Consider the following 25,082-nt stretch of genomic DNA (forward strand, 5'->3'; position numbering starts at 1 on the left):
GTCAGATGCTGGTCACCTCCCTGTGGATTTGGAGATAATTCCAACAGAAATTGGACTCTGAAGGAAAAAATGGGTCTAAGTTATGAGCAGACAGAAAGAGAACAGGACTCAGGTCAGTGCAAGCCCAGAGTACCTCTAATGGCCCTCTAACGATTTCTTAATGATTGTCTCTCAGCCTACGCCACGGGGTTGGGAAACCTGCAAATGACAATTCCTAAACTCATACGCCAATTGGCTTCCTGTTAGAGTTCTTCAATGGAGAGCATGGACTGTAGATTGAAAGGCAGAAGGAAATCTCTTCTGTTTCTTGCTCCAGCTAGTATTTCTCCAGGAGCAGAAGACACCTATGACTCCAGCCTCCAGCTTTCCTTAGCATGCACAGCACACGTGGAGCCACACCTCCTGAGAGGTCCCAGCACAGATGCGCAGTGCCTCCCTCAGCGATCTGAGCACTGGCTGTGCAGGGACCCCTCCTGCAGGCTCCCATGGTTTTGCTCATTCTGCTTCTCTTGCTTTGTTACCCTAGCCCTAAGGAAGGGTGGCAGGCAGCCTCTAAGATAGTCCCCAGTGATCCCCACCTCTTGGTATTTACAGCCTTATGCAATCCCCTCTTGCTCTTGAGTAATTTGCTTCTAAGAAAATATGGTGACATTGCAGGGCTGTCACTTCCATGGTTAGGTTACAAAGGGTTCTGACTTCCATCCTGCTAGTATACTCTCTTACTGGCTTAGATAAAGCAAGCTCACATAGTGGAGAGACCCACATGGCTAAGAACTGAGGGGAGCCCCCAACTAACAGCCAGCAAGGTACTGAGGCCTTCAGTTCAAAACATCCCTCAAGAAATTCGATCCTGCCAACACCCACCTGATCTTAGAGGTGGATACCTCCCCAGTCAAACCTTCAGATGAGCCCCTAACCCTGGCTGAAACCATCTCATGAGAGATTGTGACATAGAGAATCTGGTTAAGCCATGCTGGGATTCCTGACTTACAGAAGCTGTGAAATAATAAATATGTACTGTTTTAAACCATTAATTTGGGGATTTGTTCCACAGCAATAAATCACTAATATAGGGTGTTAGTCAGGCTATTATCTATAATTACTAAATATGGGTTACCTATTCCTTTTTTACTCCTTCAGCCTTCCAACTCCTATATTACTGATTTCCTGTCTTAAATTAGTTTGAAATACCTACATGGTCTCTTTACCCGGTAAGCCCCTAATTGGTACTTATTAGGATTCAAGCTCCAGGGTCTACTATTTAAAGCTCTCTACAATCTAATTTCAGCCTATTTCTCCAATCACTTCCCTCATGCCAGCTGACAAACATTTAATCCCAGCCAAACTAGTTTGCTCATGTCTCATGAACTTGTCTTGCATTTTTCCGTGTCCACATCTCTGCAAAGGCAATGAAGTGGGGCAGGAAACATGCACTGGCTGTGGCACTAGACCTCTGTTTAAATCTTAGCTCTAACTCCTATTAGCTATAAGACCTAAAGCAAGTCACTAGCCCTTTATAAGCCTCGGTTGTTTTCGCTGGAAAACAAGGAATAAAAAAAAAAAAACAAAAAACATTTACTTTTATTTTAGAGAATGCTGCAACAGGTACAGATAAATAGCTGGCACAATGCATAACTCCCAGAAGGTGCTGAGAAAGTGACAGACCATGGTTCTCACTGCTGCTCACACCTTTCCTGGTTCTGGAATCAGCATTCCTCACTTTCCACCTAGCCAAATACTCAGGGACTGCGTCCTCTCCTAAGGCATCTTCCCAGAGTTCTCCCTTGGACTCTTGGCATAATTTCTCTACCAGGGGAGCCCTAGGTTTCCATGGAAATATCCTGTGACCAACCACAGGAGACAGAGAGGGAAGAGAAAGAGGAGATTCATGTTCTTAGTCATATTTGCACCCTTCCAACACCTAACGCTTTGCTGGGTGTTTTGCTAACTGTAAATAGGCATATTCTAGTACCAAAGCCAAAGTACTTCAGGAACAAATACAGAACGAAGTAACATCAGAAGTGTCTTAACTAAGAAATGTCATACTTCTTCATCAGACTCTTCATCTTTAGTTCAAATGTCTAGTGTTAAAATATCAGAAGCAATCAACAGAATTAAATCTATCTTTTCACAACTGGCCTATCACACACGCCTTTATACTATGATTACAGAAGTGTCTAGAAAGCATATTGTTTAAGATAACTTGCCTTATGTTTTAAAAAAACCAAATGCTTATGTTGCAACTCTGTTCTATCAAAAGTAGACATTTTGTATGATCCAAAGACATAAATTTTTTATTCATTAAAAAGTAATCAACAGCTACTATTCCCAGATACAGATCCAGTATAGTGTAAGAAAAGCAGGGCTAACCTCACCTTCATCTCAGGGTACATGTATCGGTGGATGGAAGGCAGCCAGTAGACAGGGGGCAGGCTGCTGCCTCTGCCGGGACCAGCATGGAGCACCCCCTTTTTGTCCTCATAGAAGGCAGCCAGATGAGAGTAATGTCCTGGCATCTCCAACTGGTGCCTGCAGAAAAACACACACACACACACACACACACACACAGTGAGAACAGCCCTGGTCACAGCTCTGCTACCACTCCTACCCTCCGCCCACCTCAAGGGGCTGTAACACTCAGGGGCAAAGGCCCTGACATACTCCAAAGATCCCCATTTGGAGGTTGCTTAGGTCACCTCCTTTGATGTTACAGAAGATCCTTAGGAAAAGTTCAAACATGGGCCTGAAACTCCCTGACAACACCATGGAACACATTCTTTTTCTCATGGGAAACAGACAGAATTAACAGACTATGACTAATGTCTATTGTTCTTGAGCAAGGTACGCCGGAGACTGGGTGCCACTTCCCAGAGAATGGCTGCTTCCTGTGAGAAGGGCCAGCTTGGAAGCCTAAAATTCCCTGCTTAAAGCCGCTCTTTGTTTAGAGAACTCACGCTTGCCTGCTTGCTTTGTTGTTATGGAAGAATACGGAGCTTACCCCAAATGTCTCAAATAAGGGAAAACAATTATTATTGGATGTCATCAGGGCTCATAATTTCTGCATCAAGTATAATAATAAAGAAATAAAAAGCATCAGAATCTCTTCTCTGCCCGCTCCACCAGCTCGGGTCACAGAGCCTGGCTGTGGCTGGCCCTGCTGGCCAACCCCAGACCCCAGAACCCAGAAGGCAGCACCGAAGCCCTGGGCCATTTCAACAGTGGAGAATCCTGCCCCCCAGTGGAGCGCAGGAGCACTGTGAGGACTGTTTGTCACTATATTTAATGGGGATGTTATAGGTTGAATTTTGTCCCCACAAAAAAGATGGGGCCCCAGCACCTCACTCAGAATGGGACTTTTTTGGATAGCATCTTTACATAGGTAATCAAGTTAAAATGAAGTTACTGGAGTGGGCCCTGGTCCAGTATGAATGCTGTCCTTATAGAAAGGGGACTTTTGGACACATAGACACACACATACAGCAAACAGCAGGTGAACGTGACGACAGAGACTGGGATGATGCATCTACAAGCCAAGGAACCCCAAAGATTGCCAGCATCCACCAGCAGCTCAGGGAGAGTCCTGGAACGGATTCTCCTGCATAGCCCCAGAGGGAACTCACACTGCTGAGACCTTGACTTTGGGCTTCCAGCCTCTAGAACAGTGAGACAGTATGTTTCTGCTGTTTTAAGCCACTCAGTTTTGGCACTTTGTTATGCAGCCCCGGAAAAGCCCTAATTGAGGGAGGAATAAAAAGCGACAAAACCCTCTTAGCCCATCTTTATTTTCTCAGTGTCCTACAATTTCCATCAATCAATGAACAAAAAGCAAAATATAGCTTCACTGAGCAAGGGAAACATCCCTAATTATGGTTGGCCCTGGAACAGCAGTGATTAAAAATAGGCACTCCCCGCTGCCACACCGCCTCTGCAAACTGCCACGGTGGCTTACCCCAAACTATGACACAAACTGTTGAGTCAAGATTTTCATCAACCAACTATAGCCTTCTATTCTCCAACCATCTCTACTCCAGAGTGATTTACAGCTCTTATGTCAAAGTGATGACAAGAGACCTTCAGACAAATTTATATTTTAAAAAGGAAAAAAATCATCACTATATTCATATAATGATTACTAATGTAAGATGGATGATAGCGCCAATTTCAGGGCTCCTATGCATTTTAAGTTTTGACAAGGAGGTAGTCCTACTATAACAAATATAGTCCTCCTATAACAAATAACTAGTTGGGAGGAGGTTGCTTGTAGTCACTTAGTTCACTTTTACAAATGTTCATGAGCTAGACAGGAAACCCATGGTCTAAGCTGTGTCTGACTATTCTGAGAAGATGGCAGATTTCAGATACTTTTTAGGGAAGTTTGTCAAACTGACGAAAGTCTGATTCACAGAAAATCATACAAAGGCAATTATGTTCAAAGGTGTTTTTATTAGGATGGAATTTCCCTAAAAAGAACACTGAGAATCATTTTATCATATTTTAATACTACATTTTCTGTGTTATAGGGGGCTGTGTCAAGGGTAATTTATATTTTTTCATTCAAAGTTGTTTCATTAGTATCAAATTTCCCTAAAAAGAATACTGAGAATCATTTTATTATATTTTTAATACTACATTTTCTGTGTTAAAGGGGGCTGTGTCAAGGGAAATATTTTTTCATTTTCTAGGTTTATTGTTTGCTGATTTGCTGCTCAGTTGTCTTTTCTGTTTGACTACATTAAACTCTATACTTGAACCACGATTCTAAAGAAAAGTTCAGTACAAAAGTTAGAGTCCTTTAGACAAAGAACTAATATGAGGATTCTGTCCTTTGATTGCCTCAGATATTACTGACTGATGGGACAGAACAAGGCAATAATATGGAATCTGAACATAGACAAAAATACAAATTGGCAGTTCCTGGATGAATGTTAAGCAACTGCTGTATGAAAGACTCAAAATTTAAACACACTACAGATTTTGCAACAAACAAGATTGTCAAACTACAATATCAAGAAAAACCAAAAAGTACTGACACAAGGCTCAGAGTGCTGGATGATAAGTTAGTCTTCAAAGATGATGTCAAAGCAGCCCTTCCTGGTGAACTTACCTACAAGAATGCAGAAATTGAGAAACCACCACACCGAAATGCATGCCAAACCACCTATGGAAACTGTCCAAGAGCCGTGACACTGTAAAAACTAGAGAATAACCGGCTCAATATATATTATTAATCAGAAGCCATAGGCTGCTGGGCCAGAGACACTGGGATTCTCCTTAAGCCCACAGCTCCTTCACTGATAAAACACAGCCATATGTGGCCATGCAGATGCCCAGTGCAACTGACCCTGCCTGTCCCTACCACACTGGCAATAATTCATCCACGATCAGAATCAGAGATGCCTTTGTGCGACAATTACACTTCATCACTCTGGTGTGTTAATTATTGGTCTGAACAGGCCGGGCGTGGTGGCTCACGCCTGTAATCCCAGCACTTTGGGAGGCTGAGGTGGGCGGATCGCTTGGGGCCAGAAGTTCGAGACCAGCCTGGCCAACATGGTGAAACCTGTCTCTAATAAATATCCCAGCTACTCGGGAGGCTGAGGCACGAGAATTGCTTGAACCCAGGAGGCGGAGGTTGCAGTGAACCGAGAGAGATCACGCCATTGCATCCAGCCTGGGTGACAGAGCGAGACTCTTGTCTCAAAAAAAAAAAAATATATATATATATATATATACACATATATATGTGTGTGTGTGTGTGTATTTACATATGTGTATATATATTTATATATATTTATATGTGTGTGTGTGTGTGTATATATATATATATATGTATATATATATATATATCTGTCTGAACAAATCGTCTTCTAGCTCCTGGCTTTGCAAATGCAGAAAACTAAGCACTCCCATTTACTGCGGGTGCAGGGATACTGTGACACCACCTTCTGAAGGGTAACTTACAGCTTGTATTAAATTGTACATTGTACACATCCTCTGATCTAATGATTCTCCTTCTCGGAGTGAGGCCTAAAGAACTATTTCTAGACATGAACAGTCATTTACTCACAAGGATGCTGATGTTCACAGGGGTGAAAAAAACAAGGAACACCCTAAAAGCCCAATAACAGTGAAACAGTTAAATAAATTGTGATGTATCTATATACTGAAATGCTGTGAAACCACAATAATGTTGAGGACATAATTCATGATACACCGGAAAGGTTAATATACCAAGTTACAAAATTTACATACTGAATGACCTCAATAATCTTTTTTTTTTTTTCTTTTGGAAATGGAGTCTCGCTCTGTTGCCCAGGCTGGAGTGCAGTGGTGCAATCTCAGCTCACCGCAACCTCCACCTCTGGGTTCAAGCGATTCTCCTGCCTCAGCTTCCCGAGTAGCTGGGACTACAGGTGCACACTGCCACGCCCAGCTAAGTTTTTGTATTTTAGTAGAGACGGGGTTTCACCGTTGTTGCTCAGGCTGGTCTCGAACTCCTGAGCTCAGGCAATCTGCCTGCCTCGGCCTCCCAAAGTGCTAGGATTACAGGCGTGAGCCACTGCGCCCGGCCAATAATCCTTTTTAAAAGAAATAAAATAAAATAAAACGTGTATGTATAATATATATTTGCACATGGGAAAAGACTAGAATGGTATAAAACGAAATGTTAACAGTAGATATGTCTGGCTGGTGAGATCATTTTTTTCTTTGAGCTTTTCTCTATTTTTTAAAGTTTCCTATAATAACTATTTCTTAATTTTATACTTAGTCATTTTAAACTTTTCACTATGAACATTTTCAAACATATACACAAAATGTAGAAAGAAGAGAATGAACCCCATGTATTTATCATCTAGCTTCAATAATATTTGATCCATATGGTTATATCTATACCCTATACCCTACCATTACCACTTTTTTCCTAGAATGTCTTAAAGAAAATCCCACCTCATAACATTTCATTGATAAGTGCTTTGTAAGGCATCTCTAACTGATAAAGTCTGTTTAAATAACGTAACACATAATCACCATGCCATTATCTCATTTAACAATAATAATGCCTTAATATAAATATCTAGTCCACATTCAAAATACAGCCACTGTCCCCCAAATGCTATTTTACCGTTGGTTTGTTTGAATTGAGATCTGAGCAAGGTAAAATGTGGTTATGAGTCGTAGGTCCCTTTATTCAATAACAGTCCCTCTTGCCTCTAATTTAATTTTTTAAATTATGAAATAGTTCTCCAATATCTTCTGATTAAGAAATAATCATTAAAAAGACTCTTTAGAGAGATACTGAGGGCAAAAATTGTAGATGAAATACAAGTAAATAGGTTTGGAACATCAGAAGTCAGAAGAAATATAAAACACAGATTAAGTGTTGCAGAAATGAAGACTAGTGAATTTATGTAAAAGTTGCTGCTGTATTCAAGTATTATCCTAAGCTAGACCTAAGCTTATCTAACTGTGCTTCTTTCTTTTCCTCATACTCTGTCATACAAGTCTCTTCTCTTATGTTACCTATAGCCCTCTTTAACCACCAAGCTGCAAAACCTTTCTAGCTATGACTCAAAATCTAGAAGCCATAAAAAGATGCATGAATTCAAAGAAAAACACCTACATGACAAGAAGGCAATGTTAAAAGACAAATGAAAAAGTGGTAAAATATTTTCAATTTATACAAAGAAACAAAGAAAAAATTTCCCTATTGTACAAACTCCTAGAAATTAATAAGAAAAGGCTGGGTGTGGTGGCTCATGCCTGTAATCCCAGCACTTTGGGAGGCTGAGGCGGGTAGATCACCCAAGGTCGGGAGTTAGAGACCACTCTGACCAACATGGAGAAACCCCACCTCTACTAAAAATACAGAATTAGCCAGGCGTGGTGACACATGCCTGTAATCCCAGCTACTCTGGAGGCTGAGGCAGGAGAATCGCTTGAACCTGGGAGGCGGAGGTTGCAATGAGCTGAGATCACACCATTGCACTCCAGCCTGGGACACAAGAGCGAAACTTTAAAAAAAAAAAAAAAAAGTAAAAGAAATTAATAAGAAAAGGTAAACAACAAAATGTAGCAAAGGCTAGAAATGGTTCACAGAAAAAGAAATACAAATGACTCAAACATACATAAAGGTGCTTAACCTCACTTATAAGAAAAATACAAATTAAAACTATACTGATGTACTGTTCTTTTATCCATCAGGTTAGAATGTTCAAACTTTCATTTTGTGTTGGCAACGTTGAGGTGAAACAGGCATTCTCTTGCATTACTACTGGGCATGCAAATGGCACAACCTCTATGGGAAGCAATTTGACAGAATCTATTAAAATTACATACATATATCCTTTGAGCCATCAATTTCATTTCTGACAATTTAATATACAGATATACCCCTCACGTGTGAAATGCATGATATTCAATGCAGCATCATTTGTAGCAGGAAATGGACTGGAAACAACCAAATGTCTATTAATAATGAACTTGATAAATGCTATAATTCTATAGAAGGCATATGACACAGCTGAAAACAAGGAAGAAACTCTCAACCTACTGATATGAGATCTTTCATGCTGTTGAATGAAAAAGGCTAGGTGCAAAACAACACAAATAACATGCTATCTTTTGCAAGAAAAGGGAGACAGTAAGAATATACATTTGTATTTGTATATATACACACACACACACTTTGGGATGATACATGAGAAATGAACTGTGATTACTGAGATTATTTGGATGGATATGGGAACTGGGTGAAGATTTTTCACTTTATGTGAGTGGTAGTCTGCCATACTCTTCTTCCTTTAGTAACAGAACCTTCCAAATTTTAGATGGACACACGGACGCCCAGCTAAAGGCCACATTTCCCAGATTGCCTTGCTACTATGTGTGCCTAGTAACCAAGAACTGGTCAATGGAATGTGAACAGAGGTGGTGTGTTCAACTTCCAGATCACTCAAGTTCCAGATCCCAGAAGTTGAACACAGCACCTCTGCTCACATTCCATGGAGCCAAGGTCTTTCCCTCTTCCTACATGCTAGAAAATGACAATGTAATGGGGAGACAGCTTCTACCATGTGGATGAGGACAACAACTCTAGAAAATGACATAATGTAAGACTGAATGACTCAGGTCCAAGAATGACCAGTGGAACAGAACCACCTACCCACAATGAACTACTACGACTGCCATGCTGGAAAAGCTGTAATTCTATCTTACTGTGTCACTGTATTGGGGGTCTCTTCTTCATTATAGCAACTTAGCCTATACTCTAAAAGCCAAAAACGATACCTGGAAATGAGTTACTACAGTATCAAAAACCATATAGAGACACTGGCTTTGTTGCTGGAAGGGGAGGGTGGTGAGAAAATAGATATTGCAGACTAGAAAGCTGGCAACCCTTGTTACACTTGTAGCAAAACATCTGCTAAAACTTCAATAACTTGGGAGACCCTGTGTCATCTGAATTTGTAGCTTTATGGGAAGCAGTTGGCAGTAGAATGCTGGTGTGTGTTGACTGCCCCTTGTATGCTTTTAGTGAGCTACTGTAAGAATAAGATAAAAACAAACAAGAACTGGCTGGTTTGCAAGGAAAAACGGAATAAAATACAGCCTACTAAGGGTCATGTGTTCTAAATTTGGCAATATAAATCCACTGAGATTCCAACAATTTGGGACCCCACAGGGCTGGAAAAGCCAATGCTACTGTACACCAAAAGCAGGAGACAGGAGTCTCTCTCAGGGCATCTATGAAAGTCTCCAGTTTAGTATTCTTGGGCAGACAAGGGAGTCAGCTTATTTACAAAGATCAGATTTAGGGAATCACCTCAAGGAAGTTATTATGAAAATGAGGGAGAAAGGGATGGGCCAAAAAGAGAGGCCAGTAACTATAATCTAGTCTGCTAATTAAAAACAATGACCCAAAGAAGATCTTTGGCCATGGATATTTTACCTGGAACTGACTGGAAGCAAACAAACGAGAAGTCAATTTAGTTTTTGAGAGACATGTATTGTCACATGCTTGGCTTATAAAAGCCTGTGACTTCTTGACCCCTTAAGAAACCACTAGACCTCCAAATCTATACCAGCAGGAAAGGTGTTCTAAAGCTGTACAGCCTCAAGAAAGGCATGTTCTCCAATGCCCACTGTAGATGTGGTTATGGAGGAAAATGAAGAAAGAATCTTCTAGAAGACAAAGCCAAGTGCCATGGAGGACAATGGACAAGGGATTCTACACAACAGAACCAAAGTTGAGCCAAGAGCATACTGACTCTGCAATTCTTGCTCAGCAGAATTTCACTGTTGTTATGAACTAGTGACCATCCGTATTTCTCATTCTTCCCTTTTCCAAACAGAAGCTTGTATTGTGGTTCCTACTTTACCTCCTATATTGCATTTGGGAGGTAGGGAGTAGAGGGACTTGTCTATTCTTTTATAAGTTTTCAGGGTAAGAAGAACCATGCCCTGGCCTAACGTAAAGGACTACTGCGCACTACAGAGAAATCCTAGATTTTAGACTGGAAGCATGAACTGAATGAGACTCTGTGATGTCTCCTTTGGGGTGGGAGGAATGGCCTCTACAAGGGGGAAGAAGAGTATACATGGATACCTGAGTGGCCAGAGGGGCAAACTGAAGCAGAAGCTGCTAACTTTTTCTCAAAGTCAAGTCTTCCCTTCTTCCTGTTTGTAACCAATGCCCCAGAGTTCTAACTGGTCACAGGGTCACCCACCTAGTAGTGATGCTTCCCAGGCTACTTTGCTGTTGGGTGTGTCTCTGTGATTGAGGACTTGACAATGGAATATGAGAAGTGAGATATGTAAATTCTAGTCTTTCCTTCTTCCCTATGGGCTGAAATGCAAACATAATAGTAGTGAGCAGCTTTTAACATTTGGGAAAGAGCACCTTACAATACAAAACCATTCTTAGGATACGGTGGAATAACAAGAGATGAATGTGGGTCCCTGAACAATTGTATGGAACAGAGCAGGCTACCCAACTTGACCACCTGCCTACCTCTACGCTATGACATGAGCAATAATCTTTTATCGTAATCCGGCCATAGTAATTTTGGGCCTCTGTTCTTGCCTTTTAGCCAGGACCCTATCCAATATAATACCACCTTAAAATTTTTGGATTTTGAACCATGAAACTGTATTGCCTACTTGGAGAATTAGCTTTTTAAAAGGAATAATATTGTTTTAAAAGTGTCAAAATCCCAATAAAATGGTCTTTTTTAGAACTTCATAATATTACTTCTGAGACAAAAAAAAAAAAAACTGAGGAAATATTTTGAGTACAGAAAAAGACATATGTGCAAATGTATTTTCCACAGCTCCAAAAGGTAGAGGAGCAGCTAAAAAAATAAACAGTAAATAGAAACATGCTGCATGTTCAGCCACAGAGAATAACCAAGTAAATGTATAGGACAGCTCCAGCATTGAAGAGCTATTAAAATAAGCATCAAAATGACAAACAGGGAAGACAATGGGAGAAAAACATATGCATCATGGGTATTCCTGGAGAAGAAAAAAACAGAATGCAAAAGTTAAATATTTTATTAAAGAAGAAAAAGTTCCTAAAATTAAAAATAAAAGAACTATCTATTGAGCAAAGGGGACAAACTATCCCAGAACATACTGATATGAACTAATAAATATTTGGCAAGTTCAGGCCAGGCTCAGTGGCTCATGCCGGTAATCCCAGAACTCTGGGAGGCCGAGGTGGGCAGATCACGAGGTCAGGAGTTCGAGACTAGCCTGACCAACATGGTGAAACCCCGTCTCTACTAAAAAAAAATAAATAAATTAGCCGGCTGTGGTGGCGGGCCCCTGTAATCCCAGCTACTCAGGAGGCTGAGGCAGGAGAATTGCTTGAACCCAGGAGGCGGAGGTTGCAGTGAGCCAAGATCACACCACTGCCCTCCAGCCTGGGCGACAGAGTGAGACTCCATCTCAACAAACAAAAACAACAACAACAAAACAAAACAAAACATTTGGCAAGTTCAGAAACAGCACAGACAAAGACAGACTCTATAGGTATCTGGATGGAGAAACTTCTCCAAAACGACTAATTTCAGATAACAGTAGAACAATATCTATAGCATCCTCAGGGGAAGAAGAAAGCATTCAAGAATTGTACAACCAGCTGAGGATAAAGGGAACAGGCCAATAGTATTAATCATGCAAGATCCTTTCAAAGAAAGAAAAGTGCTTGATGGTAAAATTCAACCATTAAGGATTTTTATTTTTTTATTTTTTAAACAGGGTCTTGCTCTATCACTCAGGCTGGTGTGCAGTGGTGCAATCATAGCTCACTGCAGCATTGAACTTCTGGGCTCAAGCCATCCTCTCACCTCAGCCTCCTAAGTAGCTAGGACTACAGGTGCACACCACCATGCCTGGCTAATTTTTTTGTTTTTGTAGAGTTGGAATCTTGCTTTGTTGCCCAGGCTGGTCTTGAATTCCTGGCTTCAACTGATCCTCCTAAATTGATCCTCCTTGGCCTCCTAAAGTGCTGGGATTACAGGCGTGAGCCACCATTCCTGATCAATTTTAATGTTTATATATTGTTTCCCAGTAAAGTACTGACACCATATTGTCACGTTTTTCATAATTGTTTTTCTTAATTTTGGAGGAATATTTCAAGGAATAGTATATCTTACTGTGAAAAAACATTTACTTGAAGTTATAAGTCAAATTATGTTTAATATATTTCATTAACACAGCCTGCTATTTGAGAAAATTAAATTCATAAAATATTAATCCTATTTTTGTAAAGATATTTGTATTCTAGAATTGCATTCATGGAATATTGTCAATGGATATCTGTGAGTGTTAATATATGAGAGGATTTTTAAAAATCCTCTGTACTTTCATATAAATTTTTAAATAATAAACGTGTTTTCCACAAACAAGTTCATGGGTTCAAAGCTGAAGATCACAATTATGTTGCATAAAAATGTTTACGTAGTGATAAATTTTAAAAGTATAGACTATAAAAGAGGATATATATTGTATGATGCCAAATATATATTTTAAACGTACACACATACACAGAAAAGAAGTGGTAACATTTTGTCAGTGCTTCAGGGATTAGGGATAAATTTTCCCCTCAAAATCTGAAATGTAATTAGGTTACCTGCATGATGAAAAAAATGTAAAGTAACTAATCGTTTTGCTGCTTCTGTTAAAAATTCTCTTCCTATGCCAGGCACCTTGGCTCATGCCTATAATCTCAGCTCTTTGGCAGGCTGAGGCAGGAGGATCACTTGACTGCAGGAGTTCAGGACCAGCCTGGGCAATATAGTAAGAGCCTGTCTCTACCAAAAAAAAAAAAAAAAAATATATATATATATATATATATATATATATTTTTAAGTTCTCTTTCTATTATCCCAATCATAGTAAGAATCCCAATAATAAAAGAAGTAGGCTTTAAGAAAGTTTAGGATTTCTTTGCCTACTTGGGGCAAGGAGGTAACTATTGCGGCTTTGCATAAACAAAGATCATGTACCTGTCAAAAAATGACTTAATTTTAAAAAGTGATGGTAGTATTAAATCCAAACTGAAGGCAGAATATACCCCAGCTTTCATTATAGAGTGAAGACTCATCATGCAGGACGTTGGCTGAAACGAAAGGACACCACCCGAGGCGTGAAACATCGCCATGGATGTTCTTGGAAAGACATCTGCTGCTCTGGCACGCAAATGCTGTCTCCGAGGGCTCGTGCCATATGCACCAGCTGGTGGATCCTGCTGCCTCCCTGCACATGTACGGAAGCCACGTACCGAACCTGGTTCTCCAAGAAGTGCATGTAGCGGTAAAGCAGTGTGTAGGAGGGAGAGAGGATGCCCACAGACTTCATCCGCGCGCCACGTTCCAGCTCGCTCTCCACGGGCATGTTGGCAAAGCAGGCCAGGCCGAAGAAGGGCCCCTTTCGGAAATAGCTAGAAGAGACCAAATACGTAGTGTGGCTCAAGATCAGAGAGGAATTTTGAGATGCAATCCTAAACAAAACAAATGAACTGTGTTCGGGGCTGTCAATGACAAAGCTCAGCCTCAAGAAAACAAGCGGGCCAAGCCACATGACCTCACTGATGAGCTTGAAGAGATTACATAACTTGCCAAGGGTCACTTGGCTGGAGCTGGGACTTAGTCCGTGGCAAGCCTGCCGCTCAGCTGCCCACAATCATGGACACATCTCTTCTCTCCTGCACCACGACTAATGACTTGGATGGGTGAAGCAGAACCAACATTCCTCTTCAGGCTCCTCTGGAACTTGGACTCTCTTTCGTAGCATAAACCACAGTGATTCTTCCCTTACTTCCTGAGGCTCTGATATTTTTCACTGAGCTGCCATTTTATTTCCTCCTCTTCTCACACTTGTATCAATCATGAATTAAGCCCCATGAGGAGATTAAAGCCACTTCATTACCCTTAAGCTCTTTCCATTGTTCCTTCTCGCAAAACTCTCTGAATGCCCCACTACACAGGACTAAAAAATGGCCTTACTTAAAGCTGAAATTTCAAGGTTGAACACATAGATATCCTCAGTTAACTCACACGGGGCTGAAACTGTGCACTTTCATTAAAACCAAACCTCAAGTGAGGTCCATGTAATTTCTGAGAAAGTGAGAGAACCTCTACAGGCAGGGATTCTTAAGATTTGCAGGTCATGAAGCCCATTGAGAATCTGATGAAAGCTAGACATCTCACTAGAAAAATGATGTAAACACAAAACTATCCATGTATTTTCAAGGCATTTACACACAGCACACGAAGACCTCCTAATAAGAGCCCTTCAGCTTTGGGGAAAGTGTGGAGGTGGGGGGAATGGTACGAAGATGACTCCAGTTCAGAAGTACTTACATGAAATCAGATTGGATTTTATGGGACCCACTGGCCATAGACTTGAACTCAACACCTTCAAGGTCAATATCTTGAGGTAAGCACCATTCTACCATGTTTCCTGCAGGAAAAGGAAGATGCAAGTTAAAAGAAACAACATCATTCAAAGAAAATGGGTTAGTACAGGGCTTAGCACACATGGCTTTTCAATAAACCGACTGCTGACTCAGCCTCAGACAGACCAGCGAGATGCTCAGAGCTCAGCCCCTCCATCACTGGCAGGGGTGACGCCGGAGGACGTGGAGGTGGACACTAAAAGAACCTCCCATTTCTGCCCTCAAACACTGTTCTCCTCCCTCATGAGGATGCTGCGTTTGCTTCTGTCATTCTGCTCAACCACTTCCAAATCTGCTTTTTGTAGCCTCACTTCTCTGCATGTTTTTTTAACCTTCCACCCTCATTTCCTTATCTTGTGTTCTCCCCTTAATCCCTTGAGATCTTGATTCTATCTATAGCCACTAATGACTGGGAAAAAATCCCAAAACATTTTTTAAATTCTCATTCTCGTTTACCTCTAGGTAGCATTTGCTAATTCCTCAAACATTTCTCCTCTTTTTCCTGGATTTTCATGATAGAATACTATTTTAGTGCTTTTCCTACCTCTCTGACCAATGTAACTCTGTTTCCCCTCCTCTCTCTCTCCTCTCTAAGTGAGGTCCTTCTTCAAGGGACAATGATATTTGCTTCCAGAATTTTGGGACTCATTCACTCATCATTGATTATTCAGTTTCTCCTGAGCTAGATGCTGGAGATACAAAGTCCCTGACCTCAGTGAGATTAGATTCCAGAGAGAAATGAGGAGAGCTAGAGGAGATCAGCAGTTACAGTGCAGTGGGATCAATGTTATGACAGAGGATAAGGTGCGATTTTTTTTTTTTTTTCTCGAGACTGAGTTTCACTTTGTCGCCCAGGCTGGAGTGCAGTGGCACAATCTCGGGTCACTGCAAGCTCCACCTCCCAGGTTCAAGGCGATTCTCCTGCCTCAGCCTCCCACGTAGCTGGGATTACAGGCGCATACCAGCACACTCGGCTAATTTTTTTTTTTTTTTTTTTTGAGACAGAGTCTTGCTCTTGTCACCCAGGCTGGAGTGCAGTGGCGCGATCTCGGCTCAATGCAAGCTCCGCCTCCCAGGTTCATGCCATTCTCCCGCCTCAGCCTCCCCAGTAGCTGGGACTACAGGCACCTGCCACCAGGCCCGGCTAATTTTTTGTATTTTTAGTGGAGACGGGGTTTCACCATGTTAGCCAGGATGGTCTCAATCTCCTGACCTTGTGATCCGCCCACCTCAGCCTCCCAAAGTGCTGGGATTACAGGCGTGAGCCACCGCACCCGGCCATGCCCAGCTATTTTTTTTGTATTTTTAGTAGAGATGGGGTTTCACCAAGTTGCCCAGGCTGGTCTTCAACTCCTGACCTCAGGTGATCCACCTGCCTCGGCCTCCCAAAGTGTTGGGATTACAGGTGTGAGCCACCGCTCTAGGCCAAAGTAGGATTTTAAAAGTACAAGCATGCCTCGGGCTGCGGGAATCAGGGAACTACACAATAGCAGTGTTATCTAGAGTCTTGAGAGAACACTATAGAATACTCCCTGTTGTTTTCATGCATATTCAAAAGGGTTTAAAGCAAAACACTAAGCTATTTGTGAGATTTCATTTCAGAACAAACTTCTTATTAACACTCCAAATCCTAATTTGCTAGGCATTAGAAAAACCATCAATGATCCCAGCCAAACAACGCTTTCAGATAATTGTTCAGGGCATCAGGGAATACACAATCTAGTCTCAGGACATGGTAGATATCATAGAGCATTGTCGAATCTCACACTCAACAGCCCAAGTCACTTTCAAATAGTTTATTTTCAAAAGAGGAATTATGATTCTGATCATTTAGTCAATTCACTAAAGTGAAAAGCATGAAAAAGGAATTAAGAGTTCATAAAGCAGAAAGCCTCGAACAATGTTATGTTTGTCAGGGTCAAAGATAAGAAAAAGCACTCAGAAAGAAAGAGGGGTGACCTTGGGGATAAGACGAGTTTTTTAAGCACCAAGTTCCCCCACGCTTTCCTATATTTTCCCCTACCATCCATGTCTATTACCTTCACAGTCCAGTCGTTTTTTTCCTGTGGAATGCATCAGGACAGCTAGGGAGCTTTAAAAGGTGCCAGGGGCTACCCTAGGTCTATAGAATCACCATCTTCCCTGCCCTGCCACAGGGTGATTCTGCTGATGCATGCCAGCAATAAGAGCCCCTGCTTGGGCCTCTGTATACACGCTCCTAACGCTTAACAGTGGCAGTATATGGTCAGCAGAGGAAAGGGACTGTCTGGGACAGAGCTACAATGACCCTCGATAGGCTCTGTCCTCCTCATACTCAACCAACCTGCTTCTTCTAATACTTACTGCCTTGTTTACCCACACGCCACACATTACGGGGTTCAGCTAGCTCAAATTTAGCTTCTTTCCTCCAACCCAGCCTGCCCATGACTACTCAGTGTCTTAAAACTTTATTTACCCAAATGTTATATTGAAGTATAGCATAAGTATAGAAAAGTGCAAAGATGTTTATTGCAGCACTATTCACAATAGCAAAGACATGGAATCAACCCAAATGCCTATCAATGGTAGACCGGATAAAGAAAATGCGGTACATATACACCGTAGAATACTATGCAGCCATAAAAAGGAATGAGATCATGTCCTTTGCAGGGACATGGATGGAGCTGGAAGCCATTATCCTCAGCAAACTAACATGGGAACAGAAACCCAAACACAGCATGTTCTCACTCATAAGTGGGAGCTGAACAATGAGAACACATGGACACAGGGAAGGGAACAACACACACCAGGTCCTGTCAGCAGGGAAGGGGAAGAAAAAGCATCAGAATAAATAGCTAACACATGCAGGGCTTAATACCTAGGTGATGGGTTGAGAGGTGCAGCAAACCACCATGGCACATGTTTACCTATGTAACAAACCTGCACATCCTGCACATGTATCCTGGAACTTAAACTTTTAAAAAAAGTGCACAAAGTACAACTCAATGGATTTTCCCAAAGTAAACATATTTGTGTAAGTAGCACCCAGATCAAGAAGCTGAAAGAACATTATTTGTACAACAGAAACCTCCCTCATAGCAGCTCCAAGTCATTAACCCTCTCTCATGAATTAGCTTAGCCTCTTCTGAGTTTCTACAAAATGTAATTATAGTTTGCTTTTATGTCTTTTATGTCATCCATGCTGATATGTGTAGCAACAGTTTGTTCATCTATTACTTCTATCATATGCATGTAGCAGTTTACCTGCTTAACTGGTGATGCACATTTAGGTTACTTCCAATTTGAAGTTACAGCAACGGGCACTGCTGTAAACAATCCTGTATTTGCCATCTGCTGAAATAGCGTAAAGTGGCATTGTAATGCATTGACCTGGTTGGGCTGAACTATCCTTCTCAGAATTCCCTTCTTTGTATGTTTCCAGCTGAGATTTGGAAGTGAATCAGTAGCCACGTTATGTTTGCATCTGTAAGGTCAGTGCAGAAGGTCCACTGCATAGCTGCTTCTCTGCAGGCTTACTAGAGTGGTGAGGGGCAGCAGCCAGCCCTGATGATGCTGCAGCCACCATCCCTTGATCTTCCTTCAGTTTCTCTGACTCCTAAGCCAGGTGTATGTTTAGTTCCATAATAAAGGGCATCGGCTTCTCCTTAGGACACCCACATCACCAAAGCTGGATACAGTAACAGCCTGATCCGCGTTCCCACCTATCTTCATGAGTTTCAGCTTCTTACTCTTCCTTTTCCTCCTCCTCCTCCTCTTGTTCAGAAGTTTACTCTCTTCCTTCATAACTGTCTGCCCAGTAGACTTCAAACTCCAACATCAGATACAAAGAACAGCCTTATATAGATTGTCTAACAGCTCCCACAGTTGCATAAAACCAAATCCCTGCAACAAATTCCTTTATGTATCTCCTAGTTTTTCGGTTCCTCTGATTGAACTTTGACCAACACAATATGCACATTTCTACTGACTACATCCCTAGGAATAGAATTGCTTTAAAAATGTTTGCGTCACTGCAAACTAAGACACTTTCAATGATTCCCAAAGTAGTATTTCCCAAGCTTAGGTTAATAGGGCTTCTGCAAAAAAGAAAACAAAATTTTGTGAAATGTGTGTGTTTTTGGCCAAATTATCTTAGCTTAAACAAAGCTAGACACATTCCTTTATTGAAGTACTTCTCAGAGCCTTTAATATGCCACTCTGCATCGTGAATCTCCGTGAGATCAATACAGTGCTTAATGTTTCCCCAAATTATCTTTTTTAAAGGAGTATCTTAAATCTTTTTAAAAGGAGTATCTTAAGAGACTAATTTTATAGAAGGCACTTTTTAAAAAAAAAAAGAAATACAGGTATATCAGGTGTGCAAGCTGTCCTTCCATATCCACTCTTCTCTTCTTATATGAATCAGAACCTGTTATTTTTAGCTTGGTGCATGGCCTTCCAAATGAAGGCTATGTTTCTCAGTACCTTCATGAGTGAATTCTGGTCAGTGTCATGTGGACAGAAATGAGGTGCATCACTTCCAGAAGGTGCCTGAAAGGCAAGGAGCACATTGCCCCTTTCTCCACCCTGCTACCTGGAATGTGGATGTAGCATCGTATCACAGAGGGGATGCTGGAGCCATTGGTCAACGTGGGTCTAGGTCCCTGGATGACCCTGGAGATTTGGGCCAGTATTCTAGCCCCAGGCTGCTATCACCTGATCGTTACATGAAAAAGAAATAGACTCCTATCTTGATTATGCCACTGTTGATTTGGGCTTCTAGTATTCATGTCCAGCCTATGTCCTACTTAGTACAGCTGACCTAGAAGATAAAGTCCCCATTCCTTAGCCTGGTTCTCAAACCCTCTTCCTTGCTCCTCTGTGCCTACCAAATCTAATTGCACAGAAATGGAAAGGAACAGAGGGAGCGAATGACATACTGTTAGTTACATCCTTCACTCCTAGGTGGACATAAGCCCATCTGGGTTGGGAAGAAAGGTCCATTAGAGGCTGGCAAATCAAAGAACAGGGCACAGGCTCCAGAACACCACTCTGGGGAGAGGTATCCTTATCCCATGGCAAGCACATTCCTGCTGACAACTCCTTGAATGAAAGGGAAGTAGGTAGAGCTACTATGGCCCTTATCTCTACATATGATAATCATGTCTTTGACGTCTGTCTCTGCAGGAGTCTGTTAACTTTTACAAGGTGAGAATTTTCCTTGTCTTCACATTTCTATATAGTATCATGCCTTGCACAGGACAGAATGGGTATTTAAAAAAAAACAGATTTATTAAGGGCACGCATGTGTTTAAAAAAACTGATGAATTAGTGTTAATTACCTTAGCAATAGTAATAATATTGTAGTTACATAGGAAAATGTTCTTATCCTTAGAAGGTTTATACTCAAACGTTTAGGAGTGACATATTATCATATCTGTGACTTACTTTCAAATGGTTCAGGAAAAAAAGGCATATCCATATCTGTATATAGTCAGTTCTACTTTTATCACTTACTGGATTTGTGTCAATGCAACAGATGTACTTGAGAGCAATTTGAGCACAGGGAATTTCATATTCACTTATGCTATAGACTCAATGCAATCCCAATCAAAATCCCAGCAAATTATTTTGCGGATATCGACAAGTTAATTCCAAAGCTTACATGGAAAGGCAAGAGACCCCAAATAGCCAACATAATACTGAAGAACAATAAAATTGGAAGACGAACAATGCACCCAACTTCGAGACTTATATAAAATTAATCAAGAGAGTAGGTATTGGTGAAATATCAGACAAATAGATTAATGGAACAGAATAGAGAGCCTTGAAACAGACCCACACAAATCAATCACATAATCTTTGCCAAAGGAACAAAGGCAATATAATGGAGAAAAGACAGTCTTTACAATAAATGGTGCTGAAACAAGTGGACATCTACATGCAAAGCAATGAAACTAGACACCTACTTTACCCCTTTCACAAAAATTTATTCAATATGGAAAGTAGCTAGCCTAGGCAACATAGCGAGACCCTGTCTCTACAAAAAATTAAAAAAAAAAATTAGCCAGGCATGGTGGTGTGTGCCTGTCGTGCTAGCTACCTGGGAGGCTGGGGTGGGAGGATCACTTGAGCCCAGGAGTTCAAGGCTACAAGGAGCTGTGCTCACTCCACTGCATCCCAACCCAGGCAAAAGAGTGAGACCCTGTCTCTAAAATAATAATAATTTTTTAAAATATGTAAACCAAAATGTAAAATGCAGAATTATAAAATTTCTAGAAGATAACACAGGAGAAAAATCTGGGTGACTTTGGGTTTAGCAATGAGTTTCTAGATATAATACTAACAGCACAATTCATGAAGGAAAAATGGATATATTGGACTTCATTAAAATTTAAAACTTCTGATCTATGAGAGACACTATTAAGGGAACGAAAAGACAAGCCACAGACTGAGAGAAGATATTTGCAAAACACATATCTGATAAAGGACTGTTATCTAAAATATACGAAGAATTCATAAAACTCAACAATAAGAAAACAATCCAACTTTTTAAAAGGGTAAAAGATCTGAACAGACAACTGATCAAGGAAGATACACAGATGGCAAATGACATGATGTTGACTATTTTTTCATATGCTCATTACGCAATTGCAAATTAAAATAACAATGAGATATCATGACACACATATCAGAATGGCTAACATTCAAAACACCAAATGCTGATGAGGATGTGGGACAGCAGGAATTCATTGCTGGTGGGAATATAAAATGGCACAACCACTTTGAAAGACAGTTTGGCAGTTTTTTACAAAACTAACATGTTATTATCAAATGACCCAGCAACGATGCACCTTTGTATTTATCCAAATGAGCTGAAAACTTACATCCACACAAAACCTGCACACAGATGTTTGCAGCAGCTTTATTCACAATGGCCCAAAACTGGAAAACAACCATGATGTCCTTCATAGGTGAATGGATAAATAAAACGTGAGATATCCATACAAGGAAATACTCTATAGCAATACAGAAAAATGAGCTATCAAGCCATGAAGAGACATGGAGGAACTTTAAATGCATGTAGCTAAATAAGAGAAGCCAGCCTGAAAAGGCTACATACTATATGATTTCAACTATGTGACATTCTGGGAAAGGCAAAATTATAGAGACAATAAAAAGATCAATAGGAAGGGAGGGATGAATAGGTCAAGCATAGGATCTTTAGGGCAGTGAAACTATTCTGTATGATACTGTTATGGTGGATACATAACATCGTGCATGTTTCAAAACCCATTGAACTGTACAACAGTGAACCTTAATGCAAACTATGGATTTAAATAAACAATAATGTATCAATATTAGTTCATCAATTATAACAAATATACCACACTAATGAAAGATGTTAATAAAGGGAAATTATATGTGTATGAGTGAGGGGGAGGTAGTATATGGGAACTCTGTACTTTCTGCTCAATTTTTCTGTAAAACTAAAATTGCTCTAAAAAATAAAATACATTAATTATTTAAAAAAACCTAATTGATGAATTAACCTAAATTAACTGCCCTAAGAGTGGCAATGATACTATGGTGATGTAGAAAAATAGCCTTATTCTTAGGAGATTTATACTGAAGTATTTTATTTTATTTTATTAAGAGACAGGATTGCCCAGGCTGGAGTGCAGTGGCCCAATCATAGCTCACTATAACCTCTAACTCCAGGGCTCAAATGATCCGCCCATCTCAACCTCCCAAACAGCTGGGACTACAGGTATGCGCCACCATGCCGGGCTAATTTTTTAAATTTTTATAGAGATGAGGTCTCGCCATGTTGCCCAGGCTGGTCTTGAACTCCTGGCCTCAAGAAATCCTTCCACCTCTGTCTTCCAAAGTGTTGGTATTACAGGCGTTAGTATATGTATTCACGCCCAGCCCATACTGAAAAATTTAGAAATGAAATGCCATGACATCCACAACTTACTTTCAAATAGTTCAGCAAAAAAAAGAAAAGTCTATTTATATCTCCACACACAGTCAGTTCTGCTATAATGCTTGTTGAATCTGTTCCAAAGCAATCAATGTATTAGGGAATTTGACATTTGCTTATGTGTGATTTCAATCATGAAAAACACAAAGTCAATGTGGAAAACTACACCCAGCTGAATCAAGCCATGTCGGAATATACAAAACACACCCACCTTAAGCTTCTCCTGCTACCTCAGGTCACCTCGTTCTGGGCCATGCCATGCACCTCTAGCGTCACAGTTTTGCCTCTGATTTCAGACAGCCCCCCTCCCACCACACATAGTAATTCACAGGCTCAATCCTTTCAGCACTCACCTCCAGATACAAACACCAGGTCTTTTAAAGGTACAGTTCCACATTTACTAAGTATGTATTTCTTAACCATTTATCATATGCAAAACTGTCCTATAGTTTTTGGTAGGTTCCTATCTTTTTTTTAAAAAAAATGTGCCACTGACAAAGTTTTTCTCATAAGCCCTGTGATTTTTACTTCATGATTTTTTTTTGCCGCACAGTGATTTTTGGAACATATATTTCATGTTATAGGGGATATGACTATGTAAGAATAAAGCAAATGGGGCAAAATGTCAATAAACGGGGACTCTAAGTGAAAGACATACAGGTTTTCACTGCACTATTCTTTCAACTTTTCAAAACATTTCAACTTACAAATTGGGGAAAATAATTGAAATAATAGCAATGTGAAAAAAAGGAGAGCATAAAGGACTTTGCAAAAGCCAAAAATAATTGAGGCAATGCACCACACTAATAGGGAATGAAGCGCTATCAGGGCTTGAAGTTATCCTACAGAAACATTACAAATGAAAACCAGCTTACATATGGAATTTGAGGAGACTTAATGGAAAGTGATTTTGCATAATTAGTAATCCTTATGGGATGCCATTTAATACCAGAAAGAAACTCATCCTGACTGCTACTTATCCCAGGCTCAGTCTTCACATTCCATGCTTTTAGGTTTTCCAGATATCCTCACTGTATTAAGAACTCAGCCAGGGAGCTGGGGCCTGGAAGATTCAACAAAAGAGGTCATCTCATGGCTAGTCCATCAAAGAGAGGAGGTGCCAGTGACAAGTGCCTTTTTCTCCCCTAACTTGCTCTCTTTCCATCTCTGTGTCCTTTCTCATCTTGGACCATGACTTGGACCTATTACAGGTACTTACAGGCACTTCCTAGCCTCTACTGCAAAGACAACTTCTGAGGAGGGATTCACATGACCACGGGAGGCACAAATGTGGCAATATGCATTGTGTACATTCAGCTGGTCATTGAACAAATATTGGTGGAGCACAACTTGGCAGCACGGTGCCTGCCAGGTGCTGAGCTCATGCAAAGGCAAATATGTCTCTGTTTAAAGGAACTTGGACTAACCGACTACGAGGCTGGCAGCTCAGTTACCCAGGCAAAGCCAGAAGGTCAGTGTCGCGCCTGGCTGAGGATGTACAGATGGTCTGAACCCTGCCACTTCACAGCTCCAAAGGTCAGCCTGACAGCTCTGTGCACCAGGGCCTCCCAGAGCTGGGGTTTTATAAGCCCATGGGCTAGGCCAGAGGTAGGCTGTCCTATCTAGGTTGACCACTGCCTCTGTCTTCCAAAACTAGTTCTGTTTAAATGAGAAATGACCAAACCCCCAGCTGTCTTAAAATTCATCACTATTTCCTAGGGAGATTGGACATTAACTGCAGTAACTGCTGTCTGCTAGAAAGTTCACCTCAAAATATTTAAAATAGAGAAAGCAATGATCTTGAACCAAAACAATCTCTTTTTAATAGGAAATATGTGAATTTCTTCTTCCTCCTCTGTTAGATGGTTCCCAAGCAAGCACTTCCTCCTGAGCTCTTCATTTCCTATCCAGAGACTGCCTCAGCTGGAGATCCTCTTCCAGCTCCTCTGACCTCAGGAGTGGAACTCCCACCCCAGCACGTGCCTGAGGTTTTACTCTTTCCACGGTTCTCTTCCCATCTGTGTATACATATGCCCTGATTGTAATCAGGAAGTCAAAACAAATCCTGTTTCAGGAATAAAGGCATGAATCAAAGAGTATTCTAGGTCCCAACAATACATTCCCTTCACATAACCACCTAAAGGGGCCATCAGA

The 25,082-nt window shown here is 40.9% G+C and overlaps 1 protein-coding gene across 1 annotated transcript in view, besides 2 other annotated features; it reads right to left on the reverse strand.

The window, feature by feature from the left end:
• DENND11 (DENN domain containing 11) overlaps positions 1-25,082 on the reverse strand; it is a 45,439-nt gene that overhangs the window by 14,964 nt on the left and 5,393 nt on the right. Inside the window, exons 2-4 of the mRNA NM_001080392.2 lie at positions 14,868-14,967; positions 13,787-13,945; positions 2,376-2,529 (exon numbers count right to left, since the gene is read on the reverse strand). Of these exons, the coding sequence (NP_001073861.1) occupies positions 2,376-2,529; positions 13,787-13,945; positions 14,868-14,967 (413 nt within the window). The remainder of the gene's footprint in view (positions 1-2,375; positions 2,530-13,786; positions 13,946-14,867; positions 14,968-25,082) is intronic.
• Positions 3,076-4,055: an enhancer, noted in NCBI's record as "H3K27ac hESC enhancer chr7:141374567-141375546 (GRCh37/hg19 assembly coordinates)". NCBI's record gives its function as "activates a minimal SCP1, AML or CMV promoter by ChIP-STARR-seq in naive H9 embryonic stem cells {active_cell/tissue: H9 hESC(naive)}" and the evidence as "EXISTENCE:reporter gene assay evidence [ECO:0000049][PMID:30033119]".
• Positions 20,127-20,636: an enhancer, noted in NCBI's record as "H3K27ac-H3K4me1 hESC enhancer chr7:141391618-141392127 (GRCh37/hg19 assembly coordinates)". NCBI's record gives its function as "activates a minimal SCP1, AML or CMV promoter by ChIP-STARR-seq in primed H9 embryonic stem cells {active_cell/tissue: H9 hESC(primed)}" and the evidence as "EXISTENCE:reporter gene assay evidence [ECO:0000049][PMID:30033119]".

The sequence above is a fragment of the Homo sapiens genome, chromosome 7 (genome assembly GCF_000001405.40).
Source record: "Homo sapiens chromosome 7, GRCh38.p14 Primary Assembly".
Lineage (NCBI taxonomy): Eukaryota > Metazoa > Chordata > Mammalia > Primates > Hominidae > Homo > Homo sapiens.